This window comes from Homo sapiens, chromosome 22, assembly GCF_000001405.40.
Source record: "Homo sapiens chromosome 22, GRCh38.p14 Primary Assembly".
Lineage (NCBI taxonomy): Eukaryota > Metazoa > Chordata > Mammalia > Primates > Hominidae > Homo > Homo sapiens.
The window spans coordinates 50,722,916-50,738,189 of record NC_000022.11 but is presented as its reverse complement, the minus strand read 5'-3'; the positions used below and the strand labels follow the sequence as shown (position 1 = coordinate 50,738,189).

At 57.0% G+C, this 15,274-nt stretch overlaps 1 protein-coding gene and 1 long non-coding RNA gene across 2 annotated transcripts in view, besides 1 other annotated feature; one reads left to right on the top strand and one right to left on the bottom strand.

The window, feature by feature from the left end:
• The first annotated feature begins 20 nt into the window (after positions 1-20).
• LOC105373100 (uncharacterized) lies at positions 21-2,361 on the top strand. Its single transcript, NR_134637.1, has 2 exons — positions 21-800; positions 1,086-2,361. It is a non-coding gene; the product is annotated as an uncharacterized LOC105373100 (long non-coding RNA).
• The window catches only part of SHANK3 (SH3 and multiple ankyrin repeat domains 3), a gene marked incomplete in the record, with an annotated part of 60,390 nt that continues 50,093 nt past the window's right edge, over positions 4,978-15,274 (bottom strand). Inside the window, 1 exon segment of the mRNA NM_001372044.2 lies at positions 4,978-7,469. Coding sequence (NP_001358973.1) covers positions 6,878-7,469 — 592 coding nt within the window.
• Positions 13,868-13,927: an enhancer, noted in NCBI's record as "active region_19333". NCBI's record gives its function as "activates an Ori minimal core promoter by ATAC-STARR-seq in GM12878 lymphoblastoid cells {active_cell/tissue: GM12878}" and the evidence as "EXISTENCE:reporter gene assay evidence [ECO:0000049][PMID:35858748]".

Sequence of the window (15,274 nt, the reverse complement as noted above, 5' to 3'; positions counted from 1 at the left end):
CCGTGGCTGCCTGGCCAATCAGCAGGGGTGACCCCCACCCCACCCCCAGCAGTCAGGCCAGGTAAGAGCCCCTCGCCTTAACTGGTTTGTGCTGAAGAGACTTCTTGACTTCCTGCATAGGCTCCCCCACCACCAGGATGATGGGGGACTCCTGTGCAGCCCCACTCCCTCTGTCCCAAGGCCAGGATCTCCATTCCCAGTAACTCTTGCGAGGTCCCCACATCACCCAAGGCTCTGGCTTTGTGCAGGTTCAGAGTCTGCCTCTCATGCGTGCTGTGACCACTGCAGACTCACAGACTGAGGAGCGGCTCAGCCCTTCAGTGATGAGACGGTGCAACATGTTTGTGGATCAGAGGAGTCAGGGTCAGCAGATTAATTGATCCTTAATTGTTGTTGGGGAAGTTTTCTTTTCCTCTTCCAAGTGAATGCTATCAACACACTTTTCCAAGAGTCATTTTGAATTTTCCTAATTTACAACTGCAAAGCCCACCTTCCTGTCCGTTGCTGAATATCACAAGGTCTCCTATTATCCTGAATGTCTCCAGATCGGCTTTCTGTGACTGAGGTGGAGCAAGGTGTTTTCTCCTATACTTGAATGTCAAGAGTTTTCATACAGCTACCTGAATATCATGAAGCATCATTTTTCCCATCTGATCATCAGGAACTAGCATCTCACCTACCAGAGTGTGACAAATGCTTATTGCAAACACCTGAATGTTAAAACATTTCCCATCGCCTGCAAGTGTCAGGAGGTCACACTCTTACCTGCATGAGGGCAGCCTTACCTCTTCTACCTGAATGTAAGATCTCAACCAGCCCGAGGGTCAATAGGTTGCACATCATCTAAGTGGGTGTCAGAAGGTCCCATGCCTCCAACCTGAGTGTCAGGACATCTCATCTCCTATTCCTGAGTGTTGAGTTTTCAGATTATCAGATGATCTTGATTTATCTATTTTCTCTAACTGAATGTCGTACTTATGACATCCTCAAATGAATGTTCAATAGGTCTCGTATATCTTACCCAGTATCAGGGAGTGATCACCTCCTTCTTTGAAAGAAATAACAACTCTGTTTTTCCACTTCAGTGCCAGAGGCCCTCATCGCCTCCACCTACAGGTTAAGAATTCTCACCTCCACCACCCAAGTGTCACCCTGTCGCACTTTCTCTACCTGAAAATCAAGAGGTCTTACATCTTCCAGCTGAATGTCAAGAGGTTGTATTTTACCTATATGAATGTTCTGAAGTCTCCACCGGTATACCAGAGTGTTGGGAGATCTCATTGCCCCCATCTGGGTGCCAGGGCATGTCCTACCCTCTACTTGAATATAGTCTCATATCCCTGTCTAAATGGCATGGAGCTTTCATCTCCTCTGCTAGAGTATCATGAGATCTCCTCTATTCTGGGTGTCCAAAGTTCTCATCTCAACCCCCTGAGGTCTGGAGGTATTCTCACCTCTTCCTGGTTGTCTGGAGGTCTCATCTCCCTTACCTGAGAGTCATGAAACCTCCTATCTCCTATATGCCCTATCTAAGTCATGACACTTTATCTCCTCCGAGTGTCAGGGGATTTTTCTACCTTTATGTCAGGTAGCCCCACTTCCTCTAGCTGAAGGGCATACAAGTTCTATTTCGTGACTTGAATGTGAATAGGTTTCAGCTGCACTACTGAGTGTTAGCGGACCTCACTTATTTTAACTGAGCATCAAGTTGTGTCTCATAAATAACCAGAAAAAGACTTTGGAAATATGGTTCAAGAAATGGCAAGAAGAATTGAAGAAGTGGGCCCAAGTGCAGAGGCTCATGCCTGTAATCCCAGCACTTTGAGAGGGTGAGGCAGGCAGATCACTTGAGCTCAGGAGCCCCAGACCAGCCTGGGCAACACGGCAAAACCCCGTCTGTACAAAAAATACAAAAATTAGCCAGGTGCAGTGGCACCTGCATCCCAGCTACTCAGAAAGCTGAGGCAGGAGAATCATTTGAACCCAGAAGGCAGAAGTTGCAGTGAGCCGAGATCGCACCATTGCACTCAAGCTTGGGCAATGGGAGTGAAACCCTGTCTCAAAAAAAAAAAAGAAGAAGATTAAAGTTTTGACTGTTAAAGAAAATATTATTCGGGTGTTTTTAATGGATAGCACCTATTTCTTTACAAATATTTAGGAGGTATCAATAAAAAAGTCTGAAGACCCAATGTCAGTGTCTGGATTCTAGAAGACCATTACAGTTTGACTCCGCAAAGCTTACCCACTTCTGATTCTAGAAGGGGCTGCCAGTCATCGTGCCTGCCCGTGGCTATAGTGATGGTTGCGGGAAAAGTACCTGGCCCGGCCCATTTAATTTTGTCATTAAACTAATGGAAGCAACAAACATCTCAACTCAGAGTGACTTTGTCTGACCTTCTTCATGCTGTTCTAAGAGCGAAGGAGAAATGGGTGACAGGTCTGGGGCCAGAGGGTGGGGTCCCATCCGAGGGCATGGCTCAGGCTGAGGCAGAGTGCTCAGCACAGGGGGCAGGATGGGGGCTCCCCATCTCCCCTCAAACTCCTCCCTGCTCTCTGCTTCCACCCTGACCCCCAGGCACCCCTCCAGCTCATCCCAGCCATTCTCGCTGCTCCTGCTCACCCCAACCACCCGCTGCCTTCGCCAGCCGTGCCCACTTCTGTCCCCATGCCTTATTTACCTGGGCAATCCAACTCCCACCCCAGTTTTTCTCACCCTGATCTCCAATCCCTTCCAGCCCCCAATCCCCTACTTTTCCATTCCTGTCCCCACCACCCTCCGTGAGGAGCAGAAACCTTATCCAACCATCCTCAATGTCCAGCCAGCCAGGAAGGCAAGAAGATCCCAGAGGGAGTAAGAATGGTTGACGCAGTGAAACCTTGAGGGCCGAAAAGGGGTAGGTTTCAGGTCTTCACCCAGGGGAAGCAGGTGCCTCGGGGGTGGTTTAAGCAAGCAGGTGAGGGTCTGGGTGGCGCCATGGAGAAGGACGAAGGCCCTTTGAGGCTATGGTTGATGACAGCTTGAAAACCAGCCTCAGGCTGGGCAAGGTGGCCCACACCTGTCATCGAAGCACTTTGAAAGGCTAAGGAGGGTGGAGTTCTAGACCAGCCTGGGCAGCAAAATGAGGCCCCCATCTCATAAAAAATAAAAAAAAAATTAGTCAGGTGTGATGGCCCACGCTTGCAGTCCCAGCTACTTGGGAGGCTGAGGCAGGAGGATCGCTCAATTCCAGGAGGTTGAGGCTACAGTGAGCCACGATCATGCCCCTGCACTCCAGCCTGGGTGACAGGGTGAGACCTTGTCTCAAAACAAAACAAAAGCAGCCTCCATGTCCTGGCCCTGCCCCAAAGTTGTCCACAGGTCTTGGGAGTGGCTGGGGGGTGCCAGCCCACAGGAAGAGCAGAGGCCACACAATTTCAAATTTTCAACATTTCCTAATCCTCATCTTATTTTCAGATTAGAAACTGAGGCCATCATAAGGAAAGGGCTGCACGGGAAGTCAAGGAGGGGGGCCCTGCAAGGGTCTGAGTGTGGGAGCAGGGGGCCCCTGACTCGCTCTGGGCCTGAGTGTGTGGAATCGGGAGGGTGGGTCTCCCTGGGCTGCACATGGAGCCCTAGGCCTCCATGGGGACTCAGAGTCTGGGGCTAGTGGCACTTCTCCACGGTGCCACCGGCCCCACCCCTGGCTAAGGTTAACCACAGAGCCAAGGTATGCGATTGTCATTCTGTCATATTCACGCGCCTCCTCAACCCAGTGTGTCCAGGCTCTGAAACCACTGCCCCTCCTGTAAGCAACCCTCCCCACCGGGGACGTCACATCTCTGCAGCCCCTGGCCTCAGTGCTGGGTCCTGTGCCCTCTACTTTCTCACGGCTCCCTCTTGATTGCCTTTGCCCACTTGCCTTACTGTTTGCCCTTCAAGACATAGCTCACCACCTCCTTCCACTCAGCGAGGGGTCTCTGTCCCTCCTGTTGGCTGGCCACCCCCACCAGGTGCCACCCAGGACGTGTCTTTTTTGCCACATTATCGGCTGCTCACATGACTGCCTGTGCGCTCCTGAAGGACAATGTCTTGTCTCTGGTGCTCAGGGTGGGAGCAAAAAGGAAACCTCACATCCAACTGGGCAGACAACCCAAGGTGAGAAGCACCAACTTGCTCTAATTTGAGATAGCACCAGGGCCGTGCAGACGCAGAGCCTAACATCTAACTGGGACTCCAGGGAGGGCGGGTCAGAGAAAACGTCCTGGAAGACAGGATCCGGAGATCAGCCTCCAAGCTATGTATGCTTGATGCAGGCAAACGATGGGTGATCCAGGCAGAAGGAAGAGGGCATGTGTGAGACAGAGCCCTGAAGCGTCATAGCGGCTCAGGGATTGCAGGAGGTGGGGGGAGACTGGCGAGCAGCATGTGTGCATGGGGAGGGAGCAGGGGATGCTGGCAGGGCCACGGCAGCACTGGCTGGGCCGGACTGGCTCACGGGGTCCATCCATCAGCTGCATTTACAGACAGGCTGGTGTTTGTCAGCAGAGGGCAGAAATGGAAACAGAAAACCAGTGAATCAGCAGGGAAGGAGTGAGGGCTAAATCTGGTCTGCAGCCGTGGGGTAGGACAGTTGCGAGAGATGCGAGCGGGTTCCAAGACAGGAGCAGCAGAATTTAAAAGCAACCGGACGCTGGCGGGAGCAAGTCTTAAACCCTAGGCTTAAAACCTGGCAGGGGTCATGGAGGACAAGTGGCCTCCAGCTTAGGAGGTGCTACTCAGTGGGTTGGTGAACAGAGAAAAGCTTTCGGTGCAGAAGGCATGGGCTGAGTTCCAGCAGACTCGGAGAAGATGCTGGAAGATGCCAGGTGCCTAGGCATGGAGGTCAAAGATAGGGATCTAGGAGTCACCCGTGCATGTGGTCCAGGCTGAGGAGGTTTGTGTGGCCGGTATGAGGGACAGACACAAATATCCCCTCAAGCAGGCAACTGAGCCATGGCTTCATTTCTTATAAATTTATTACATAATAATATTATAATAATTATTATCAATAATAATAATATAAGAAACATAGATCTCTGTGGGGCGTATCACAACGTCAGGGTCAGGAGGCCTCAGGACTGGAGCAGGGGGTGAAACCCCCCGGATGGAACTCCATACAAAAGGAGGTGAAGCGGAACTGACCCTGTAAAGTTAAAAACCCAAATTGAACGGAACCAAAACCCACAGGTGAGTGTGAGACCGAGTGTGTATGTGGCAGTCTGTTACAGTGACTGCTGCTGTGTGACCTGGACTGTTGGCGGAAGGATGAGTGGGTGTGACTCTGTGCCCAGGGAGTGGGGCCGGTGGGCCAGGGCGGGGCGGGCAGGCACAGACCGGCGTGCCAGGCCCCTGGGTTGTGAAAACTTCTGTTTTCTTTTTTTTTTTATTTTATTAAAAAAAGCTAGAAATATAAACAGAAACTTGTGAGTGACGTGGATGGAGCTTAGTCCAGACTCCAAACCCTAGGTTTAAAAACGTCCCAGGGCCCCCCACCCCACAGGTCATCGCTGAGTGTGAGGAGTCACAGTGTGGGGGGCTGGGCACCCTCGGGGGTCTTTGACTCTCCCCAGGGCCTGTGGTGAACTGACTCTAGGGGTCCCCCTATGATGCCCTCAGAAGCCCAAGGTGGGGGCGCTGCCTCCAAGGGGCCCTTGGGGCCTCCCCAAGCAGCAGGGATTCACCAGGGAACCCCGCTCAGGCTGGGTGAGGCTCTGGAAGGACAGGCTGGGCAAACAGCTGGACCCAGGGTGCAGGATGGCCTCTGACTTTCTTTGGAAGAGGAGACAGGGTGCTCTCACAGGTACACCCCACGCATGCACACGGTGCACGCCTCCACGGCCCCGCGCTAGTCCAGAGCGGCCCCTGGTGGCCACTCAGTAATCAGGCACACACACGGCTCCCACGTGCTCAGACGCACCCAGTTTCACCCACACACATAAAGGGCAGGACAGGAGACTTTGGGGTCCAAGGCAGGGAGGCTTCTCTGCTGTAGTTGCCCAAGAGCATGGGGACCAAGCTAGCCCCCTCCTTGGGGAGAGACCCTGTGAGGAAGATGGCTGCGGTGGAGCGGCAGGGCCCTGCCCTCATCCCCCCCGGCCGATGGTCTCCCAGGCCGGCTGGTCCCGCGGGTGCACAGCAGGACCCGCGGCCTGCCGCCCCTCCCACCACGAGCAGCACCTGAAGGGTCGGTGGGGCACACTAGAGCTCAGCGAGGCGAGGGGCCGAGCTGGGGCCCCAGGGCGGGCCACTAGGGCCCTGGCCAACCCCAGACCAGCTGGAGCGTCCCCTGCCCCGTTGTGGGGTGGCAGTGGCAGTGAGGGGCCGGAGATGGAAGACTGGGCAGCTGCAGTGGGACCAGTGGAAGTAGAAGGGAGGGGAGAGGAAACTATTACGGACAGAGATATTTGTTCCTTTTCTCGTTCCAAATATAGAGTGGATTAAAATATGCAAAACAGGGGGGCTCCTTGGCCCCCATCGAGAATCCCAATGTCTCCCCCCTCCCCCCGAGTCACCAAGGCGGGTCCTGACCTCGCATGCTGGACTAGGTTCCCCCTCTGGGAGAATGGCCACCAGGAGCTGCGAAGGAGGTGGTCACGCTAGGGCACCCCACCCCCGGCACCTCCCGCCCCAGCCTCCCTGGTCCACGCCCTTCCTGACTGTGCGCTGGGTGGGCTGGGCGGCCGGTGAGGGCACTAAGCAATGTACAGGGCGAGTCTCCGAGCAACAGCAAACAGGACGATTCATGCAACATTCCTGGCCCGGGCGCCGTCGTAAGGGGCAGGCCGAGCCCGCGGCCCGGGGTGGGGGTGGGGGGCCCTGCCGGCAGGGCACGGCCGGGGCGGGAGTGGGGGTGGGGCGTCAGCTGCCGTCCAGCTGCCTGAGCGCGCGCTCGATGTTCATGCGGTGGCCCACGCGCGTGACGCCCAGCTCCACGAAGTCGTCCTTGGTAAGCGCGGGTAGGTGCGCGCCTTCTATCTCATGGTCCTCGAAGCGGTCGCGGTGCTCGCCTAGGTGGATGCTCTCCAGCCAGTCGCCCACGTCGAACTTGCTCCAGAGCTGCAGCGGCTTCTGCTGGAAGGGTCGGCGTGGGCCGGGGGCGCCGGGGCCGGGGCCGGACGCGGGCGAGGGCAGCGGCGACGGCGAGGGGGAGCGACTGCGCGCGCTCACGCTGCGCACCACGAAGCGCACCTCCTTGGGCTCGTGCGGGATGGAGAGGCTGGACGACTTGAGGATGGTGGGGGGCGTGAGGCCGAAGGGCCGCCCTGCGCCCCCCGCGCCCGCCCCCAGCCCCTCCACCCGCTCCAGCGACGCGGGCTTCACCGGGCTCGGGGCGCGTCTCGCCACGGGGTAGCGGCCACTGGGCCTCACCGAGTACGAGGCCCCGCCGCCCGGGCCCCCGGGGCTGCGCTGCGCTGAAATGGAGCTCAGCTCACCGAGGCTGCTGAAGAGCCTGCGGAGGGAGAGGGGTCAGCGCCAGGTGAGGGGCGCACAGCCAAGGGGGGACGGGCGGAGGGGAGCGGGCAGGGTCCAGGAGGAAACGGGCTGGGGCTGCGGCTGGCGGGAGTAGCCCGGCCAGAGGAAGAAATAAAGGGTGGGATCCTACGGTTACCCTGGCCCTTTTCTTTGGCCCCTGGGACCAGAGCCAGCGACTGGCTGGAATATGAGGAATGACTGGTGGCCCCCTCCACTCCATCCAGGCTCCAAGTGCAGCCCAACCAAAGAAAAGACAGCCTCTCATGGCAAAGGGCGGGCTTCTCCCTCCTGCCAGCCTCCGACACCGGCTCTGGGCATGGCGGGATCCACAGATACCCGGGACGCTGAGACTTGGGCAGTACCCTTCACCGCCCACCCCCCACACAGCTCTGCTCTCATGAGAAGACCCAGGGGATCCTGGGCAGGTTCCAGGGACAGCTGAGTCGCGATAAAGGCTGGCAGCAGCACGAGGTTGAACAGGTCCGTGACACAGGAGACAGACACTAGGCAGGGCTCGTACCCGTATGGAGCAGCAGCACATGCAGGGCAGGTGTGAGGCCGTGCACACCCTCAACACAAAGGCAGCCTCCTGCACAGACGGCACACAACAGCAGCAACGGTGCCCACACGCGTTACAGACATGCTGCGGTGGCAGCAGCACACACACGCAGACACGCAACACGCACACATGCACGCACGCACACACACAAGAACCGATGGCAGCTCACTTCCCAGCCTCACCTGACAGGACCCTAGAGCTCTAGCCCCTCCTTGGCTCTGCCGTGGTGGGAGGCCTACCTGGGGTGATAGCTCCAGAGAAAACCCACTCCCATGTCCTCCCATTCCCATCCCTATCCCCACTGTGTCAGGGGAAGCCTCAAGGGGCTGTCAGTGGCACCAGAGCCTCTCACAGCCACGCAGAGCAGAGACCCAGGCAGACAGGCACAGCGTGTGGACGGCAAGAGGCATGGGATGGGCATGCTCACTTACACAGCCGGCGCTCGGGACCACGGCGCAGCTCGACAGAGCAGCCACATGCAGATGGGCAGGAGAGAGCAATGAGAGAGAGAGTTAGCCGGCCAGGCCCACGCGACCCACAGCTGCAACCACACAATGGGCAGCCAGGTGTGGAGGGAGGAACTCAGGTGCAGAGGGCCCAGCTGCTGTGGGAGGGACAAAGCTGGAGCTGCTGGTGGAGGAGAGGCGCCTGTGCGAGAGTCTCCAAGTGCAGGTGAACCACAAGCGTGGCTGCAGTGCTCGGCAGGTGCCTGGCCGCCTGGGGGTGCTGAGCCCCTGACATCCTCTTTGGCCGGGCCCCTCTCCAGTGGCCCTCCCACCCCCTCTCCCTGCCCCTGCCCAGGCTGAGTCCCCCCACCCCAACCTCTGTGCTGTCCTCACCACACAGCATCACCAGTCCCTGCCCCATACAGGCATGGGGCTCCCCTTAAAGGCTGTCCTCACCACACAGCATCACCAGTGCCTGCCCCACACACGCATGGGGCTCCCCTTAAAGCAGGTTTCGTCTTTTGTCTCCCACCTGTGAGAGGTCAGCCCTCTGTGGAGATCTGAGCTCTGTCTCTCCCATGGGACCTCATTTCTGTCCTCTCCTCAGCCTCTGTCCCTACTGCCTCCTCCCAGCTGCTCAGATCCAGAGCAGAACTTCCTGAAGAGGCCACACTGTGCCCCCAAACAGAAAGGGGCTTCAAGAACACCTGAGGTGGGCCTCAGCACAGGCACCAACCACCAGAATAAGCTGTCTTTGCTCCCATTGGACCTGGCCTCCATGGATCCACCTGCACAGTGGGCCAAAGTGGGGAGGCAGCCAAGGTTGGGGGGATTCCCAAGGGGAGGTGCCAGGTGGTGTTGGGTCGGGGGGTCCCCTGGGGGTGGGTGCCCAGGTGGTGGTGACTGCTGGAGGGGCTTGCCAGAGGAGACTCCGAGAGAATCACTCAGAGGGACCTGACTGTGGACACCCAGAGAGGGGCAGGACCAGGAATATGCACCTGGCCTCCACCCACCAGCCCCAACAAAGTGGCCCTGGCCTGGGGACCTGTATCACAGGATGGACACCTACCCTGGCCCTGCCCCTGCCCCAAGGCTTAGCTTTCAGTGGAGTTGTGATGGCAGGTGTACCTGGAGTCTCAGGTGTGACTGAAGCACACTGATGAGTTGCAGGACCACAGCAGTGAAGGCAGAGGCACAGGGCAGGCGCGGGCAGCGCAGCCAGGAGGCTCGGCCGGAGCCCAGAGCAGGGTCTGGGCTCCAGGAGGTCCGAGCTGGGCAGAGCAGAGTTGTGCCTGTCTGGGTAGTACTGGCAGGGGCTGAGCTGGAGACCTGGGCAGAGGGCAGGCTGGCTCCAGAGGCACCCACGGAGCCAGGGGCCCGAGGGCAAGAGATGTGAGGAGAGCCATTCACATTGCTCCCGCCTCCCAGAGCATGCTGGAGATGTCAGGAGGCCAAGAGAAAACGCCCAAGGAAGGCTGTGCCTGCCAAAGGCCCCAGGGCACAGGAGGGAGGGGCCTGGGGTCACCCATGGCCCAGGTGTCTGCTTCTCCTCTTTCTCTTGGGGAAGAGGGTACTGCCCACACCATCCCCAGGGCACAAACCCGAGCAGTGTCCATGTCTGACTTCCATGTTTCCATGGCCTCTCTGCACACCCACTGTCACTCTCAGCCGTCTGGCCACCTCCCTGGCCAGGCTCCGGCCGCCAAACAGCCACATCACAGCACCTGCCAGCCTCCCAGAGAGCTTCTGGGCCACCCACCCTCTAACACATGATACTTCACCAGGCACCGTCACCCACGAACACCTCCAGCAGCCACGCTGAAGAGGCTGAGTCCAGATCACACTGAGGCCCCCACGGCCCCACGTCTTTCCACCTACATTTGAATCCTGCACCGTCTCACTGTTTCCCAGTGACTCTCAGCCAGTGAGAGAGGTCTGGCCTTGCCACACCCTCCCCACTCCGCCCTCTGCCCCACAGTTGGCCAGGCGGTCAGCAAGACCCCGCTGCTGACCTGTTCATGTTTCCCTTCGAGACATTCTTTCCCAGGCCTCTTCCTTCCTAGATGGATTTTCGGAGAGCTCCCCTCTTAGTTTGCAGTTTCTCCTGGGCAACATTATCCACTCACACCCTTTGCTATGGCCAGTGTGCCCAGGAATGCTACATGTGAGACCCAGACAGCCTCTGATGAGTCCAACACCTCTACTGGGGTATCCACACATGTCCCTCCATCCCCAACTCAGTGAACGGCACCCTGTCATTGCCACACACAGAGCCTGGGAGCCACCATCAGCTCCTCTTTTTACCCTACAGCCAATGGCTAACTCCTAATATCAACCCAGACCTTCTCTTTACCCCTTGCCATTTCTGGATCCAGACCGTTCATGGTCTCAGGCCCTTCACCCCACTTCTTACCAGTTCTCCTTGCCTCCTGGTACCTAGCACAAAGCCAGGAATACGAGATGCACTAACAAAATGCAAAAATAGTATGTATGACATGTCCCTGCCAGGCGTGCCCAACTCAGTCAGCCCACTAGGGCCAACAGGCAGGAAAATGTCCACACTCGGGCCCGGGATACTGCCTCGGGCCTTCTGCCACTGCACTCACGTGGGGCCGGTCTAGGCCTGTGGCCTTTTGCAAACTAGGGGCCTCATTAAGGGAACTAATTCTCAGAGGAGCACAAAACCAGACATGGGCTCGGAAGCTTCCAGTGCATCCTCTGCGGTAACACGTCTTGCTCCTCGGCACCCCGCCTGTTCCCAGCTCCAGCTCTGATGGGCCCCAGTGTCCTATGACCCCTCCTCTGTACCTCCTTCCTACTCCCCGAACAGGGTTCAGGGATCCTGGGAACACACCTGCCCCAGCTGCATGTGGCCTGCAGGGGCCCCCACTGGCAGGTATGTGACACATTCAGTCTGGGTTTCAAAAGAGCAGGCCCTGCTGGCCTTGGCCCTGCTTACCAGTGTGATCCACCAAGCACACAGTGCTTTGTCCAGAGCCCTGACAAATATATTAGCAGGCAGGGTCTGCAGCAGGCCACCAGGGCAGGGCTTCTTGACCATTTTGAGGAACATGGGTCTTCTGGGAGACCTAGGAACTGACTCTAGCAGGTCTGGAGACCACGGCACACAGTGCCCTCCTCCACACAAGCTTGTCAAAGGCACCAGAAGTACTGCAGCAAAGAACCTCTTTTTGTGTTTCCAAAGCTACTTTGCCATGAACTTTACCTACAAAACCAGATGTGAGAGTCCCATGTAAAGCTAAGTGCCAAGGCAGACGTGAGCCTTACTATGGACCTCAGACCCCACATGGGATTCAGATCCGAGCACGGGGCCTGGAAGACAAATGGAGTTTAGAGCCAGGTGTGAAGCCAGGGTCTCAGAGACAAGTGAGAGCCTCAGACAGATGGGGTGCCTGTGGCCAGTTGTGGGGCTCGGAGTCAGGTCTGAATCATGCCCAAATGTAGCCTCAGAGTCAGGTGTGGGGCCCAGAGACCGAGGAGGGGCTCTGGGCAGATGAATGGTCTGTCCAGCAGAGCTAGACTTGGAGCTGGGAGCACAGAGCAGGTGGACAATCTGGGATCGAGGATTCAAAAGGCCGAAGGTCCTGGACCTTCCAGAGGCAGCATGAGAGTGCCACATCCTCCAGGTTCCCCTGAAAATCAAAGGTGGCCCCAGAGCTCATCATTTTTCCACAGGTTACCGAGCTTTGGTTCCACGACATACAGGACAGCTTAACTTGTCCAGAAAGCTCTCAGGCCACAGAACACCTTGTGGCTAAAGCACATCAGGAATGAGCCATCTCTGGAAAAGGTGGGTGGGCATTCCCTTCCTCATGGTGTCGGTCAGGGAGGAGAAGGATGGGCCTGGGAGACAAACACTGTGGAACACAAGGGGCTGGAGACACAGCTCAGGGTATGGCCCTGAGGGTGACCTAGCGCCTCTGCCACGACTGGCCCTGGGAAGGAAGCAGCCATACCTGGATGTCAGAACCTCCCACACTTTAGGCAGTTCCACCAGCAGTTTTATCCCTAAGTGAGCAGTGAGTACCGGACTCCAGCCATTAGGGGCCGCAGGACAAGAGCTGACAACAGCCACGGTGGGCACACAAGGACCAGATCTGAAACAGGACTGGACTCAGACATCACCAAGTGTCCTGTGCTCCGCTCCGCTGCCTGCAGCCAGAAGCACCGGAAGTTAAGGGCCCAGGGTGGGCAGGGGCCCCTCCAGATGGCTGTAGTTCAGCCCAGGTCTGAGGGCGAGAAGGAGCGCAAGAGGGTGAAAGGAAGAGTGAGCTGGAACAGAAGGTAACACAGAGGCAAACTGAGAAGGAAAAGCAGGCCCGGGTAGGCCACTCAGGTGGCACCAGGTGCTACTTATGACAAACATGACCAGTAAACAGCGGGGGTGAGTCTGTGCCATGCACACACCTGCCACTTCTGTGGAGGGGCGTTACTGGGCAAAAGCCCATTGTGTGTCATCAGAAGGGGCTTAACAACAGCGGCCCTGGTTACGGCAGCCAGAGAGCAGGGCTCATGGTCAGGCAGACCACCGTTTTCTGTCTGCAAGGAAGCTCTCTGGTACCTCAGTTTCATTGTCTGGAACATGAGGATTCTGTTAGTGTCCGTCTAACAGAACGGTGTGAAGACAAACTGATACGGCAGGACCGTCTCCAGTGCTGCATCCAACAGGCTTGTTTTCCCACAAAGGACTCTAAGACCTCACCTAGGTGTCGTCAGTGACAGCAAAGACAATGGCAGCTCACACCAGTGAGGGGTCCACAGGCCCCAGCCCTGGGCCTACCAGGTGCTTCACAGGTGATGCCGTGTGCAGCCTCGCGATAGCCTGTGCAGTTGGCTCGCTGTAAATACACTTCACAGGGGAGGGATACAGCACTAAGCTGTGACCTCCTGAGCACCGACATCAGGGCCCTCTGATGGCTCCAAGCCAATGACCGGCAAGGAAGTGAGTTGCTGATGCCAGTGGGGGCCGTGTCACAGAACATTGGTTGCTACAGGCTGTCCAGCATCTACTTACTCAAGGGACAGCACTGGACTTCCATCTGGAGAGCCCCCTCCCCTCACTCTCAGCACCTGCTTGCTAGGTGGGCGGACCCATCCCCCTGGCTCCTGGGAGAACAGAGGACTCAAGCTTGGCCGATGACAGCCCTATGTCCCCAGACCCCAGTGATCAGTCAGGGAAAAGCAGAGGACCCACATGAACCCAATCAGAGATCAGAATTTTGCAGGAACTACTGAGTAAAAGAACAGACGTCACGTAAGGGTCAGGGCTGCTGGTCTTGTCCTTCCCCATCCCACATCTGAGAAAGAAAAACAAACAGGGTCCTGGTGAAAGCCAGAGCCAAGGGCTAAGAGAACCGTACCCTGATCAAGACAGAATGCTAAAGAGCACCGTGGGAGGATGAACTCAGAGAAGGGGAAGTGCCAGAGGTTCCGGCTGAGGAATCCCCTGACCCTGCCCTGCAACTGCTGCAGCTGCCTCACAGGAGAGGACAGAGCCAATGACGAGACCTGGGCCCACCTGAGCCCGACCATGGGGGATCGACACCTGATGAGTCTGAACGCTGAGTAAGTCCTTCTGTGGGTTTTTGTCCTAAGCCACCTCCCTAGATCTCAAATCACAAAACACAGCATTTGCATTTTGCTTTGTTCTTTCATCCATTTAAGAAATGTTTATTGAGGGCCCGAACCAGGCCAGGCACTGTGCTATGCACTTTTTAAAATGGCTTTGATTTTCATCAAGACCAAGAGGCAGAGAAGAGCGGAGGGAGAAGCAGAGAGGGAAGATGGGGGCTGGTCAGGTGTGGGTCAGGAGACCCCAGCCTCAGGGGTCTGGTCCTGTACAGAGGCCTAGGACCAGGCTGCTCACTCTGATTATAACACCCATTCTACGGGCACCTTCAACACTGCACTGCTGGGAAGAGGGCTTTCCAGTTTGGCTGAGAGTTGGAAAAGGCTAAAAGGGGAGAGGACCCCAGAGCAATTCCCCAGGATGACAGGAGCTGGAGGCAGCATCCCGGGACCTTAGGAGAGGCCTCATGAGCTTCCCAAGCTCCTACCTGTCTTTTGAATCCTGAACTAAAGAAGGTAGAATGGCCAGGCCTTTGTAAGACCTGCAAAGTCCTTAAGTTCTGAACACGTTGCTACGCTGTGAACTCTGTCCTCCAAGGCTGACAGTACGGGGCCCACTAGGTTGGTCTTCCAGGCAGCAAGAAGCAGGAGTCAAGAGGTGGCATCCACATACCACCCCCCCAGACCCAAAGAGGAGAGGGGAGACCTAGGGGCACAGAAGGCAAAAGCAGCTTTAAAAAGGCAGACAAGGGGGCGGGTGGGGGATGACCAGCTCTGCCGCCAGCATCCATGCAGCCCACGGGCCCGAAGGGCTCCTCTTTGGAAGGAGCCTTGGGAGTCGGGTCCTCAAGGAAAGACCTATGGGATCAGCCCAGGGCTCTGGCAGCTGTGACAGCCTCAGCAGCAAGCCAGGCCCCTGCTCAGATCCTTCTGGGCAGGGGCAGGACAGACGGGGAAGTGGTGGGGAGAAGGCAAGAGGGCAGATGGAGTGCAGGGAGATGGCGTGACTTCCATCTATCTTCTTACTGCACTTTAGAAATGACACACGGGAATCCATGTTTAAGGGATTCTAAGGTGGTGCCAAGAGACAAATGTTTCTGGGATGGGAAATAGGGAGTTAGTGGCAGATCCCCCAAAAGAAAAGGAGTCAGTGTGCTCCAAGCCGCCAGAGGAAGCAAGGCAGGAGGC